Source organism: Homo sapiens, chromosome 8, assembly GCF_000001405.40.
Source record: "Homo sapiens chromosome 8, GRCh38.p14 Primary Assembly".
NCBI lineage: Eukaryota > Metazoa > Chordata > Mammalia > Primates > Hominidae > Homo > Homo sapiens.
This window is the reverse complement of record NC_000008.11, coordinates 122,946,496-122,960,496: the sequence shown is the minus strand read 5'-3', so window position 1 is coordinate 122,960,496 and position 14,001 is coordinate 122,946,496. Positions and strand designations below refer to the sequence as shown.

Genomic DNA, 14,001 nt, shown 5'->3' with positions numbered 1-14,001 from the left:
GTGCGATCTCGGCTCACTGTAACCTCCACCTCCTGGGTTCAAGCGATTCTCCTGCCTCAGCCCCACAAGTGGCAGGGACTACAGGCATGCACCACTATACCAAGCTAATTTTTGTATTTGTAGTAGAGACAGGGTTTCACCATGTTGGCCAGGTTTGTGCGAAGTCCTGACCTCAGGTGATCTGTGTGACTCAGCCTCCCAAAGTGCTGGGATTACAGGTATGAGCCACTGTGCCTGGCCCCATTACCTCTTTAGGGAGTGTCCCCTAAACCTTAAATCTGCTATTTAAACCCTCAAATTCCCATATTCTATACTCTAACGGCACCAAAGAACATGTCAGTGTAGCAACTTTCATTTTTGTTTGATTAAAGATTGGTTAAAACTTCATTTCCCATTAGACCAAGGGCTCCATGAGGGCAGGGACATGCTGGGCACACTGCCTTCCAGAGCCCGGCACACTGCAGACATTCCACAAATACTTGATGGATGAATGAACCAAATCACTTATTAGGAATGTCTCTGGGCTAGTGACTTCATCTCCCTGGGACCTACATCCTTCCTCTGAAAATGAGGGGGCTGGATTTCATGGTGGCTAAGCCTCCACAAGTCACCCAAAGCACAGTGAGAATTCCTAGGGTGAGAAGCTCCAGAATTAAGTAAGTGGAAGTGGTATCAGTTAACTCCCTGTTAGGCATGAGGGAAGTCAGACTAACGGGCAGTCCCTGAGAAGCATCACCAGTAAATATCTGGTGACAGATTCTCCAACAGGCCTTTCTCTTGAGCTTTTCATACACAGGAAGCAAACTGTATCCAATCCCTCTCCTCTCGCTGCTGTCAACCATTGGAGCTAATGAGTGATGGGAAAAAAATGAGGACAAGCAAAAGGATTGAAATACCAGATCCCAACTATCTTTTAAAATTCTCTGGTTCGTTCAATAAACCGTTATTCAGCATCTGCTCTGAATCTAAACTAGGGATTCAGAGATTAATGATATATGGTCCCTGCCGGTAAGGGTCTGGTACAGGAGAGAGGGAAACAGTCGACAACAATATTTTCATTCATTCACTCATTAATTAATTAGTTAATTAATTCGTTCGTTCATTCATTCATTCAAATATCTGCATTTGGACAGCTAATCTGAACAGAGTGTGAGGGCATACCTCTTCTGGATCTTAAATTGTAACCAGAATGCAATGCTTAGCAGCCTTAAAAATTTTAACCAAGCCGAACCATGGAAAATACCTTTCTGACATTTCACAATTTTTTCCTCTTCTCCAAAGTCATCCCTAATCATCAGGAGTTGGAAACTGTTGACAGAAATCAGGAGGCAGCGAAGGTGGTGGCTGGAGCTTTGGAGTCAATTTTAGACACTGGCTGAGTGAACTCTGGCAGGTTCCTGAGCCTCAGAATTCTTTGTTTAAAATAAATGGGAAGGTGGCTTGCACATGTAGGTTGGTGGGAAGGTTCTGAATCAGACAACATGTTGGAAAAGCCACCTCTCCCCCTCCTAGCTCCTCTGGTTTCTGTGTGCACTACTCTCATGAAACAGGTGTTTCTATGTCCATTTCTCACCTTTATTAACTGAGATTAGGTAGGGGCTGTGTCTTGGACATTCTGGCAAATCTACACAGACTAGCACAGGGCCTAGCACAAAGAGGGCTCTCTAAAGTTCTTGCTGAATGAATACATTGTGGATTAGTTTCCACTCCCACACAAAATCAAGAAATGACCACACTCTGTTTGTTCTGGGCTATGCTGGTGGTGCCACTGTTGGAGAGGGCAGGGCCATAGTGGCTGGGGTCAGGCACTGGCCTGACAGTTGAGAGGTGGCCTCCAAGGTCTTCCAGCTGTTGGCTGAGGAACATAAGGCAAGTTACTCATTTTCTCTGGCCCTCAGTTTTGCCCTCTATAAAATGGGGACAAGGCTGTACCTACCTCACAGGGTGGGCATGAAGTTGAAGTGACTTAGTAGACGTGCTTAGAAGGCAGCTGAGCACACAGTGGGTGTCAATTAATGGGAACCCTCACTAGCAATAGTAACGGAATATTCCATTTGACCAAACATCAAGGCTGATGTCTGACAATGTCTTGCTCAAGTACGTTGACTCATTTTTCTGAAAAAATAAGTCTAATTTTCAGCCTTTTCCTAGGACAGGTCCCTCAATGGAATGGCTCAAACATTGTTCAGACACAGGGACTGAATCAAGACAACACAATTCAAAGGCTGGGAAGTATTCCTTATCTTTGTGTCTAACCTCAGGGCCGAGGTGAGCCTGGACTGAGTCAAATGCTGTCCTAAGCTTTGCAGAGGTTAGAGAGATTTGGTTGCAGGAGATGCTTAACGCCTACAGAGGAAATCTAGTCCTAGAGCCAGCTCTCAGCTGCTTGCTCAAGTTCCTCCCCCTTCACCCTCTTGTGCATCACATAACACTTTTTATAAAGTCAAAACCATGAATTATTTCAGGATTATTATGTGTCATAACTGAACTGAACTGCAGGTTCCTAAATAAATAAGTATTTAAATAGGGACATCACTGAATATTTATGAATTCAAGAGACTCATGTGTTTGGTTCATGAAAACTGTGAAGCAATTTGGAGAGATTTTTTTTCCCTTTAAATTGAAAGATTCCTTTAAGGAGTGCCTCTGTCCAGGATGTGGGAGAACTTTCAATGCCACCCCTAGTGCAGAAGGCAGCCCCTTTCTCAATACCATGGAACTCCAATGGTGGGGCGCGGTGGCTCCTGCCTGTCATCCCAGCACTTTGGGAGGCTGAGGCAGATGGATCACCTGAGGTCAGGAGTTTGAGACCAGCATGGCCAACATGGTGAAACCCCACCTCTACTAAAAAAAATAGAAAAATTAGCTGGGTATGGTGGCACGTGCCTGTAGTTCCAGCTACTTGGAAGGCTGAGGCAGGAGAATCGCTTGAACCTGGGAGGCGGAGGTTGGGGTGAGTTGAGATGGCACCACTGTACTCCAGCCTGGGCCACAGAGGAAGACTCCATCTCAAAACAAAACAAAACAAAACAAAACAATGGACCTCCAAAATATCAGGGAGCCATCAGAGATATCTGATGTTGCCACACGTGGAACAGATCTTAGCATCCTGTTTAGGGATGTTTTCTAGCTCACAGGTGGGGCATTTACCATAATTAAACATAAAGTGGGGTTCCTGCATGTTTTTTTTTTTTTTTTTTGTGAACACAGCTAGTCCCTGTCCTGAGAACGGGGGTATACTAGAAATGGAGAATTTCTGTCAGAAATAATGAGGTAAAGATGGCAGGAGGAAGAGTGAGGACTCTGGAGACAAACTCATGTGTTGGCTGGGTGAATGTGGGTAAGTTCTTTGGTTTCTGAGTCTGTTTCTGGGTTTATAGAGAAGCTACCTCCCTAGGAGAATTAAGTAAGACCATGTATAGTCAGAGAACCTACCTCGACCTCTGCTATTCAGGCGACCTTCGTTCATCATTCCATCCTTCCTCCCCAAAGGTTTTCTGTATGGTTTTAACATTCCCTCCCTCATTACTGTCTTCTTTGGGCCACTGGGGCATCAGGCAGGATAACATCCCACCCCCATGTGCATTTTCAACTGGTGGTGGTGGTATTAGCTTGGGAGAGAAGAGATGGGGACCGGGGCCTCTGGAGAACCGCCGCCCCTAGACAACCTCCCACTCAGCCATGGGGACTGGAAGTGCCATCTGAGCTTACCTTGGGATACAGAGACACTAAGCATCTTTCTATTCAAATTCAGCAAACATAACTCGTTCAGAATAGCTTGTCTGTTATGGAAAACCATTGAGTTTGCTTTCAGTTTGCCTCCTCTTATCCTTTACCGAACCCAAACTCTACCTTTTGGCTATGCCCAACCTCTTTTGGTTTCTCACCAGTGGCATTCCTTTTCTTGTCTCTGGACTTTGGCCTGTGCTGCTTCTTCCATGTGGACCCCTCTTTCCCTTGTCTGTGCACTTGGCTAACTCCTTCTCATCCCCTGAGTCAGATGTCCCTTCCTCCAAGAAGCTCCCTAACCCCCTACCTAGGTGTTCCTCCTCTGAGCCCTGACCCAGAGCCGTGCCCTTCCCCATCGTAACACATATCACACTGATGAGTAAAGGAAAATGCGATTTCCTCTCTCCTTGGCCTGCCCGAGCTCCACAGTGAATGGGTACTGTGTTGTCTGTCTCTCTCATGGCACTGTTTCTAGCTCCTGGAGTAGCAGCAGGCATACAGTAGGTGCTCAGAAGGTACTGTTGAATGGAACTGAACCCTATTGTCCTCTCTGGGGTGGGAGGAAAAAGCAACCATGTAGACACGTGTCATGGATGGGAAAAGATCAAGGATAGAAGATGGGAGGTCGGGCGTGGTGGCTCACGCCTGTAATCCCAGCACTTTGGGAGGCCAAGGTGGGTGGATCATCTGAGGTCAGGAGTTTGAGATCAGCCTGGCCAACACGGCAAAACCCCGTCTCTACTAAAAATATGAAAATTAGCCGGGTGGGGTGGCGCATGCCTGTAATCCCAGCTACTCGGGAGGCTGATGCAGGAGAACTGCTTGAACCCAAGAGGTGGAGGTTGCAGTGAGTTGAGATCGTGCCATTGCATTCCAGCCTGGGCAACAGAGTGAGACTCTGTCTCAAAAAAAAAAAAAAAAAAAAAAATCACTCCCTCATTTTAATGAGGGAGGTATGGGCTAGACTGGTAGGTTCTTCTAAGGTGGGAGAATGGCCAGAGGTGGCCAGGTAGAGGTGGGAAGTTGCTGTCATTGTGACCTCAGTACACTTCTATCCCCTTCCTTTCACTCACGCCCTCCCCTTTGGGTTGTGCCCACACCCTTGACACACAGGCATTTCCTCCTGCAAGTGGGAGGAGAAAGGAGAATGGAACATGATGGCATTCTGGGATTGGCTGCTCGTTAAAGTGCTCTTTTAATAGCGGATGGAACTGGCTAAAACAAGGTTTCTAGAGAATTTCATTTATTTGTCAGCTGCCTCATTTTATTAGTGAATCAATGAGTTAATGAGCGACGTGGTCAGCCAAAGTTGTCCAAGTTCATTAAGACAGAGGTGTGGTAATTTCCAGGGCTGCCTTTGGGACCTTATCAATCATTCTGGAGGTTCTTACCTTTATTTTATATTTTGTAAAGATAACTTGGGAGGCCCATTCCGTGGTATTTTAAGTGACCTCTGGAGAAGCCTACCTGGGCAAATCGTGCATCTTCCTCCTTGTAATATTTGCTTTCCCTCCCACCAGCCCTCCCCCTGCCACTGCCCCCATTTCTCAACTCACCACCAAGCTGCTGTGCTTCAGGCCTCGATTTGCACTGACCTCTTAGGAAGCAGAATACCAAGGGCTTCAGTGGCATGTCCCATTATGGGGATGACATGGCCATTAGTAACCATGGAAACCGCCCTGCCACCCCCCCCCCCCCGGCTTATGTGACTCTACAGGCCTAATTTACACCCGGCTCTTCCAGATTTGAAGGGGTTATGGGGACCCAAGCACAGTGGCACCTTCCTTTTGCCCTGACAAGGCAAATATCAAGCACTTTCAAAGCCTTTTCAGATTAGAAGAAATAAGCTCAGGTCTTTGATTCAGTAAACTTGGATATGTATTCTTAAAAAATCCAAAAAGAAAAGGGGGGAAAAAAAAAAAGAAACAACCTCTTCATGTTTGGTGTTTTTACAGCAACAAACACAAAACACACAGAGGGAGGATGTGTTTTCTAACAGTCAAAACTAACCTTCAGAATGGACAGGCCTGAAGGCTGGAGCCCAAACAGGCCACAGCCAGCGGTGCTGCCCCCTGGGCACAGCCTTACAAATGAGGACGTAGGTTCCATCAGCCCCCATTTTTCTTCTTTTTTCAAAGAACCTTTACAAATAACTCATCAGCCGGGCTCAGTGGCTCATGCCTGTAATCCCAGCACTTTGGGAGGCAGATGCAAAGGAATTCCTTGAGTCCAGGAGTTTGAGACCAGCCTGGGCAACAAAGTGAGACCCCGTCTCTACCAAAATATTAAAATATTAGTTGGGTGTGGTGGCAGATGCCTGAAGTCCCAGCTACTTGATAAGCTGAGGGGGGAGGATCGCTTGGGCCCAGGAGTTTGAGGCTACAATGACCTATGATCGAGCCACTGCACTGCAGCCTGGGTGGCAGAGCAAGACTCTGTCACTAAAAACAAAACAAAACAAAACACCAAAACCAAAACCAGACCCTTCCACTACAAGAATAAGTATGTGAGGTAATGCATACGGGAATCAGCTTAACTGAGCCATCCCACTAGGTAAACATATTTCAAAACATCATATTGTATGTGATCAATATACATCATTCTTATTTGTTAATTACAAGAAAAAGACGCCACCATCTGTGTCAACATCTCTGTACCCTACAATCTATATTAACCCTGGCAACGAAAAGAAAGCAAGCTGCGTTCTCCCCTGCTGCCTGGGTGAGCAGGTGGAATTACCTGTCTAGGCCTGGCCAGCCTCTGCAGGGACGCAGTCGGAGTCTGATTCAGCCAGTTCCGACACACCTTCTGCCGCAGCCTGACTCCAGCTATCTGATCTATCTGAGATCGCATCCTCCTCCCCGACCGTCACCTCCACGTAATCCACAACGCTCGACTCCTCGTTCTCGTCGCTACCCTGGCCGTCCCGGCTGCTGCCCTCTGACCGGTCTGAGGTGGCCTCTGAGGGCTTTGCTGGCAAACAGTCTTTTGCTGGCTCGCTGCCTACTTTTACCCTGGTCACCAACTTCTCCAAGTCCTCTTCGCAGAGCTTTTTGGGGTCCTTGTAATATTGTGGAACCACATCACCCCCGTTCTTTGGGCTCTCGGCCATGGGTTTTGTTGCTTTCCTTGCTACGGCATCGTAGCCGTGATCATCTGCCATGGGCTGGTGCTGGTACTGCTCCATCCACTTCACGGTTCCCGTTTTCAGCAAGCATCTGTTCTCCTTGAACCAACGCACAATCTCAGTTCGGACCAGGCCAGTCTTGGCCGCTAACTGGTCGTACTCCTGGGGAGTAGGCCACTGGGTTCTTGCAAACGTGCTCCTCAGGAGATGAACCTGTTCTTGACTTTTTGCAATTGCTGGCGAAGGGCTGGGCAGAGAACTTGTTAACTGGGCACCGGAGAGCTGGTCGAGTCGAGACAGAGCACCATTGGGGGCTCCCACATCTTGGCCTTTTTTGCCAGACCCCATGGAATCCAAGACAGCTTGTTCCATGCTGTCTCGAAGCTTCCGCCTCTCCGAGAACCAGGAGTCGATCTCTCTCCTGCTCAGCTTGGTCTCCACCCTTAGCCGATCCAGTTCTGCTTGGGTAGGAAAAGAACTTTTCAAAAAGCTGTCTTCCAAGATTTTAACCTGACCCTGTGTTTTCTCTTTGAACTTCTGGGGGGCAAAGTCTGGGTACGCATGATACGTGCGACCGTGTCGGGAGGCCGCGATGGCCAACTGGTCTTTGGCAAGGGATTCGCTGGTGATGTGGACGATGCCCCTTTGACACCGATATCGGTGGTCACTGAACCACTTCTTGATCTCGCTCCTGGCAAGGCCAGTCACCTCGATGAGCCGGTAAACCTCGGCATCGTCAGGGAACTGGCTCTGGAGAAAGCTGGCCTTGAGATGTGCTATCTGCTCCTTTGTCTTCTTGCGGTCACTGGCTGGTGTGAGCGGGGGGTTGGCCACCTTGGGTGGGGGCTCTGGCACCTGAGCGATGTGTGGACGCTTGGGTTCGGGGGCAGCTTGGGGAGTCACCAAGGGTCTCTTCTGGCCATGGTTGGTGACTCCTGCCACGGCAAGTGTGATGGGGGAGCAAGAGACGGTTGTTGACCCGCTGGTCACCTGAGTCAGCACCAGGCTAGTCTGGCCGAGGATCTGGCACGGTAGAGCCGTCTGGAGGATGGGCTGCGTCACCTTTGTGGGGGCCAACTGGGCGGGCAGCACAGTGATGGTCGGGGGTACTGACTGGATGGTGCCGTTGAACATCTTCTTCCGGGCCTCCTCCACCTCTTCTGGGGACCAGCTGATGCCATGCTTTAAGCGCTGGGTGGCAAACCAGATTCTGATGTGCTCCTCTGGGTGTTTGGAGGCAGCTGTCAGCCAGGACAACTCAGCCTGGGTCGGGTAAGGAAACTTGTTGAAAGAGTTGATCATCGTGGCATTTGTATCCAGGGCAGAGTTGTATTTGGTAGTATTTAGTGGGACAGGGACCTTGGGCACAAGGTTGATATTTGGTGGCAGCTGTACAGAAGGCATGACGTGTCCTAATGTGTCTTGGAGGAGCTCCACCCCGCCGAGTCTCGAGAGGATCTCAGCTGTGTCTGTCACCAGGCGGGCGGTCCCTTCCACGTGGTTCTCGGGGGTGATCTCCTCGGGCTTCTTGGGCACCTTCTTGGCATCCGCTTTTGGTTTTCCAGGCTTCATGATGGGGGTTTTACTCACCGAGATCCCAGAATCACTGTCACCAGTTCCAGGGCCACTGGTGGTGATGGACACGACATGGTTGGTGGTTTCGATGGACTGTTCCAAGACAGTTTGATTATTGCGTTTAATTAACTTCAGCTTGAAGTTGGCCTCCCCGGGATGGAACTTGGAGTTGTGGTCGGATAGGGAGTCGTACTTTTTGGTTGTGAAGTTACATTCTGCACACACGTAGAGGGGGTTGAGAATCACGTTGGGATGCTGCATGTCGACATGCTCCGTGAACTCGTTCAGGTTTTGCGTGGAGTAGGGGCAGTATTTGCACTCATAACCACCTTGGAGTTTTTTGGACTGGCTTTCCCCCATAGATTTCACCTCTATCACTTCGTTTTCTTTGGAAGAGTTTTCAAGTTCTGCTGCCCAACTGTCCTTGGCCACGTCAGGCTGTGGTGTGCCGATTCCTTTCTCTTTGGCCCTGTCTACTTCCTCGGGCACATCTTGTTCTACTACTTGTGATGTCCGAACCATGCATGGAGTTGTAGATTTTCGTTTGCTAGCCATGCTGCCTGTCTGTGTGCAATGGCTTATTTTTGGAGGGGGATAAGGAGGGGGCGGTGAGATTCTTGGAACGAATAAGGTGAAAGGCTTTTGGCTTTATTCCCCCTCAAATGGCTTTGGCTTTCCTTGTGTGCTGAAGTCTACTGTTTGAGTTTTCAGAATGATTTCAGCACAGAAAATTGGAATGGCACCAACCACTAAACACACCAGGAAGCATCATATCTGTGGACAAGAACAAAGACAGGGTCAGTGTCTCTTCACAACGCAAAAGAAACTGGCACTTCTTTATGAGTTTTCCCATGACCCAGCCCAACAGGCACCCAAATCGAACATCTATGGATGCACAGACGGCGTGAAAGTGCTTAGAAACACGAAAAATCACATTCTTCTTCTCTTCCTTTTTTTGGAAGGAGGTGAAAACAGGCCCAAACCAAACAAACATGGATGAGGGTCACCATTTCATGTTTGGAGACAAAGGAATACAGGAAAGGTAGACAGGTCCTAAAATCCTCTGAAGCGGTGAGAGGGAGTCGCAGATGGTGTGCTTGCAAGCCACTTTTAGATATGGTACCTCGGAAGCGAGATGTGTCCCCAGGGGTTGGCAAGTGAAATTTACTCAGGCGCTAGAAAACAGATATGAACATTTTGCTTATCATAAAAGCAAAATCATGATAGAAAATCCAGAAAATGCAGAAAAGTATAAAAGAAAAAAAAAGCAATCACCCCCCCAATATTGCAGTTTTATAGTTCATCTCACTTAAACAGTTTCCCATTTCCATAAATAGTGAGCAAAATAATGATTTTAAAAATCATTATTTCATCACGTGATGAAATCATCACGTGTGGTATATCCCTATAATGCATGTTAGTACATTGTAGGGATAGACCACACATGATACGTTCAGCCATTGGACTTTTTTAAAATTTTATTTTAAGTTCTGGGATACATGTGCAGAATGTGCAGGTTTGTTACATAGGTATGCATGTGCCATGGTGGTTTGCTGCACCCATCAACCCGTCATCTAGGTTTTAAGCCCTGCATTCATTAGGTATTTGTCCGAATGCTCTCCCTCTCCTTGTCCCCCATCCCCCAACAGGCCCCGGTGTGTGACGTTCCCCTCCCTGTGTCCATGTGTTTTCATTGTTCAACTCCCACTTATGAGTGAGAACATGTGGTGTTTGGTTTTCTGTTCCTGTGTTAGTTTGCTGAGAATGATGGCTTCCAGCTTCATCCATGTCCCTGCAAAGGACATAAACTCATTCTTTTTTTTACAGCAATTGGACTTTTGTTGGAAATTTATTTCGTTTTTGGCTCTTATCAACAAAACTGCAGTGAATACCCTTAATCCTTATTTTTGATAACTACCTTTGGATGGATGCCTAGAAGTGGTTCTCTTGACCCATATGTATGGCAGAGTTTTGGCCTCAACTGGCCTTTTCTTTGGTAGTGTATGAGAGGGCTTGACTTACAATCCAGCCTATACAGCTGGATCCAGCCTATTTACAGTAGTAAATACTACTCACAATCCAGCCTATTTAACAGTAGTAAAATACTACTGTTAAAAAGCCTTGCTGATTAGATAGGGAAAAACAGTTTTTTGGATTTTTGTTTGTTTCTGAGACAGGGTCTGGCTCTGTCACCCAGGTTGCAGTGCAGTGGCACAATTCTAGCTCACTGCAGCCTCTATCTCCTGGGCTTAAGCAATCCTCCATCTCCTGGGCTCAAGTAATCCTCCTGCCTCAGCCTCCTGAGCAGCTGGAACTACAGGCACACACCACCATGCCCAGCTAATCATTTAATTTTTATTTTTAGTAGAGACAGGGTTTTGCCATGTTGTCCAGGGGTTTTGCCATGTTGTCCAGGCTGGTCTCCAACACCTGGGCTCAAGTTATCCACGTGCTGCTGTCTCCCAAAGTGCTGGGATCATGGGTGTGAGCCATGCCTGGCCAAGAAGACTGTTTTAATATGCTTGTATGCTTTTCTTGATTGACAATAAGGTTGGATTGTTTTCAAAGATTTGCCCACTATTTATATTCTTTTATGAATTGTCTGCTTATGTCATTTTTATTTAGACATTCAGTGGTTTTTATTATGAATTTGCAAGAATTCTCTTTACATAAATAATACTAATGCTTTACTAAGTTTGTTGCAAAACTTTTCCCAGTCTATCATTTTCCTTTTTTTCTTTTCAGATAGAGTTTTGCTCTTGTGGCCCAGGCTGGAGTATAACGGCGCGGTCTTGGCTTACCGCAATCTCTGCCTCCCAGGTTCAAACGATTCTCCTGCCTCAGCCTCCTGCATAGTTGGATTACAGGCATGCGCCACCACGCCAGGCTAATTTTGTATTTTTAGTAGAGATGGGGTTTCTCCATGTTGGTCAGGCTGGGCTCAAACTCCTAACCTCAGGTGATCTGCCTGCCTTGGCCTCCCAAAGTGCTGGGATTACAGGTTTGAGCCACTGCGTCTGGCCCTATCACTTACCTTTTAGTTGTGCATATTATATATTTTTTAACGTTTAACATGTAGAAATTTTAATTTTTAGCTAATAGATTTACCAATTTTTTTCTCTTGTAGCCTCTTTCATTGTGATTTTATATTTAGAAAGTGATTCCCTGTCTTGATAGCTGAAATATATTAATCTACATTTTCTTAAGAATATTTTAACCTTATTTTTTGCATTTAACTCATCTGGTATTGAATTTATCTTGGGTTAAGCTGTAAGACACAATTCTAACCATTTTTCTTCAGAGTTACCAACCATCTCAGCAGCATGCATTATTATTTTCTAACTAATTTTTGAGAAACCTCCTTTATCATACACAAACTTTATATCTACTAGGGTTGGTTCTGGGTTATCTAATCTGTGTATCGATCTAGCTGTTGAGTACTGCACTTATGCCTTGCTTCTAAAAGAACTTTTGTATGTTTAGAGTACATTTTTATATCTAGTAGAGTTCTCCTCATTACTCTTTCTTTTCGCAAAACAGTTCTTGGTTATTTTGATAATCTAGTCTCATGAATCAATATCACCTGTGAAATAAAATTCTATTAGAATTTTGATTGGAACTGCATTAAACAAATGATGATTTGGAAGTACAGGAACAATTTGCTTATTAGGTTAACAGAACCCAGAACCGAGAATAGAGAGCTGATGGGCTAAAGGAGGTGGGAGACATGTTTTGAAGCAAAGATCCCCGACTTCCAGGAAAAGGAAGGAAAGGGAAGGGAAGGCAGGAGATGGCATATCATCTCTGGCCTCTCCCATGGGCCTGGGTTTGAGTCCCACTGAAGAGAGGGCATAAAGGCCAAAGCGAAGAACTTATTTTCACAAACAACTCTGAGAGTCTAGGCCCACGCCCACCTGCTTAGGGGCTCGGTGACACACTTGGCCAGGGCTGGGGAAAGGGCCATTCCCCGGCTAGTGAACCCAGAACCTGGCCCCTCGAAGATGAAAGCACTGGCATGTGTAGGCTGGTCAAATTCATCAGCAGTGGGGTGGAGAGGACAGGGGCAAACCAGAGAAGAGGGCAGCCGTTTCTTTTTATTGACCATGCCCAAACCGCCACCTCCAGCCTCCGCCTGCCATGATCTTCAGAGTCTTGATCTCACCTCTCAAATACTTTTCACGCCTCCAGAGTTCATCTCCAGCAATGGCACCACCAAGACCTGGCAGGCTCCGGCCCCGGCTCCCCTCTCCCGCCGCCCTTCACACTCCAGTGGCTCTGTCAGGACCTCACTCCCCTCACAGCACCTCTGCCAGAACATCCCACCCCGAGAACCGCCTGGTTTTTAGGTCTCCATTGAAAAGTCAGCCTCCCACAGAGAGGCTTTTGCTGACAGCTGCCCCTCTGCAAAACAATGCCTCCTTAGCACTCTCTATTTCCTCACCCTGCGTGGCTTTCTGCACAGCACTCTTCAACAGCTGACATCATACTTCGATGTTTTGTGGTTAAAAGAGGAGCAAGTGTCTATCCACTTGTTTATCATTTGTATCTCTGTGCAGAACCATTCTGCCCAATATGGTAGCCACTGGCCACATGTGGCCTTTTGAGTTTAGTTAAAATTAAATAGGATTAAAAATTCAGTACCACAGTCATACTAGCCACATTCCCAGTGCTCAAGAAGCAATTGTGGCTGGTGGCTATTGTCTAATACAATGAAGGACATTTCTATCATAGGAAGTCCTATTGGACAGCACCATTCAAGAACAGAAACTCCATCAAGGCAGAAAGGTTTTTTTTTTTTTTAGAGATGGGGTCTTGCTCTGTTGCCCAGGCTGGAGTGCAATGGCACGATCTCAGCTCACTGCAACCTCTGCCTCCCAGTTCAAGCAATTTTCCTGCCTTAGCCTCCCAAGAAGTTGGGACCACACGCATAAGCCACCATGCCTGACTAATTTTTTTTTTTTTTTTTTTTTTTTGCAAAGACAGGATTTCACCCTGTTGCCCAGGCTGGTCTCGAACTCCTGGGCTCAAGCCATCCACTTGCCTCTGTCTCCCAAAGTGCTGGGATTACAGGTGTGAGCCACCACACCCAGCATCACAAATTAACTGTAGGGAGGCTATCTCTTGGGAACTGCAGCTCAGTGATGAGGTATGCTAAAATCTCCTGTGAATGCTCAGTAGTGTGTGTGTGTGCATGCGTGTGCACACGTGTGAACATGTGTGTTGGGGTTACATGAGTGGAAGAACTCTGTAAGGGAAGGGAGACTCTACAATTCTGTGGGGAGTACTATTAACACAGCAGAATGTGGCTAAATTCTAAATTTGCACCCATTGGCCAAAGGGCTTGGGACATTTGAGTTAAATTTTTCAAAAGAGAGGAGGAAAGACACTTTCCTCCTGCAGAAAAAAGACATCAGGCAGGAGTAGACCCAGGGGAGGAAATACCTTTTTTTACCGAAACTTCCCATATCCCGCATTATTTAAATCTGTTAACAAGTGAGCCCCCGAAATGAGGTGAATAGTGGTAAAATGGCCTGGAAGCTTCTCAGTGTTCCAAAAATTGTGGTTCAAAA

At 46.8% G+C, this 14,001-nt stretch overlaps 1 protein-coding gene across 26 annotated transcripts in view, besides 1 other annotated feature; it reads right to left on the bottom strand.

Moving 5' to 3' along the window:
- Nucleotides 1-14,001, bottom strand: part of ZHX2 (zinc fingers and homeoboxes 2) — a 194,132-nt gene that overhangs the window by 14,014 nt on the left and 166,117 nt on the right. For 20 of the 26 annotated variants that reach the window (NM_001412806.1, NM_001412805.1, NM_001412799.1 and 17 more), the window contains one exon: nucleotides 6,469-9,205. The exons of 1 other annotated variant lie outside the window; for it this stretch is intronic. In NM_001412806.1, the coding sequence (NP_001399735.1) occupies nucleotides 6,473-8,986 (2,514 nt within the window). In that variant the 5' untranslated portion in view covers nucleotides 8,987-9,205 and the 3' untranslated portion in view covers nucleotides 6,469-6,472. Of the gene's footprint in view, nucleotides 1-4,959; nucleotides 9,607-14,001 lie in introns of those variants that run through there. 5 more of the 26 variants (NM_001412808.1, NM_001412812.1, NM_001412797.1 and 2 more) reach the window with 4 other exon arrangements.
- Nucleotides 12,091-12,590: an enhancer, noted in NCBI's record as "H3K4me1 hESC enhancer chr8:123960147-123960646 (GRCh37/hg19 assembly coordinates)". NCBI's record gives its function as "activates a minimal SCP1, AML or CMV promoter by ChIP-STARR-seq in naive H9 embryonic stem cells {active_cell/tissue: H9 hESC(naive)}" and the evidence as "EXISTENCE:reporter gene assay evidence [ECO:0000049][PMID:30033119]".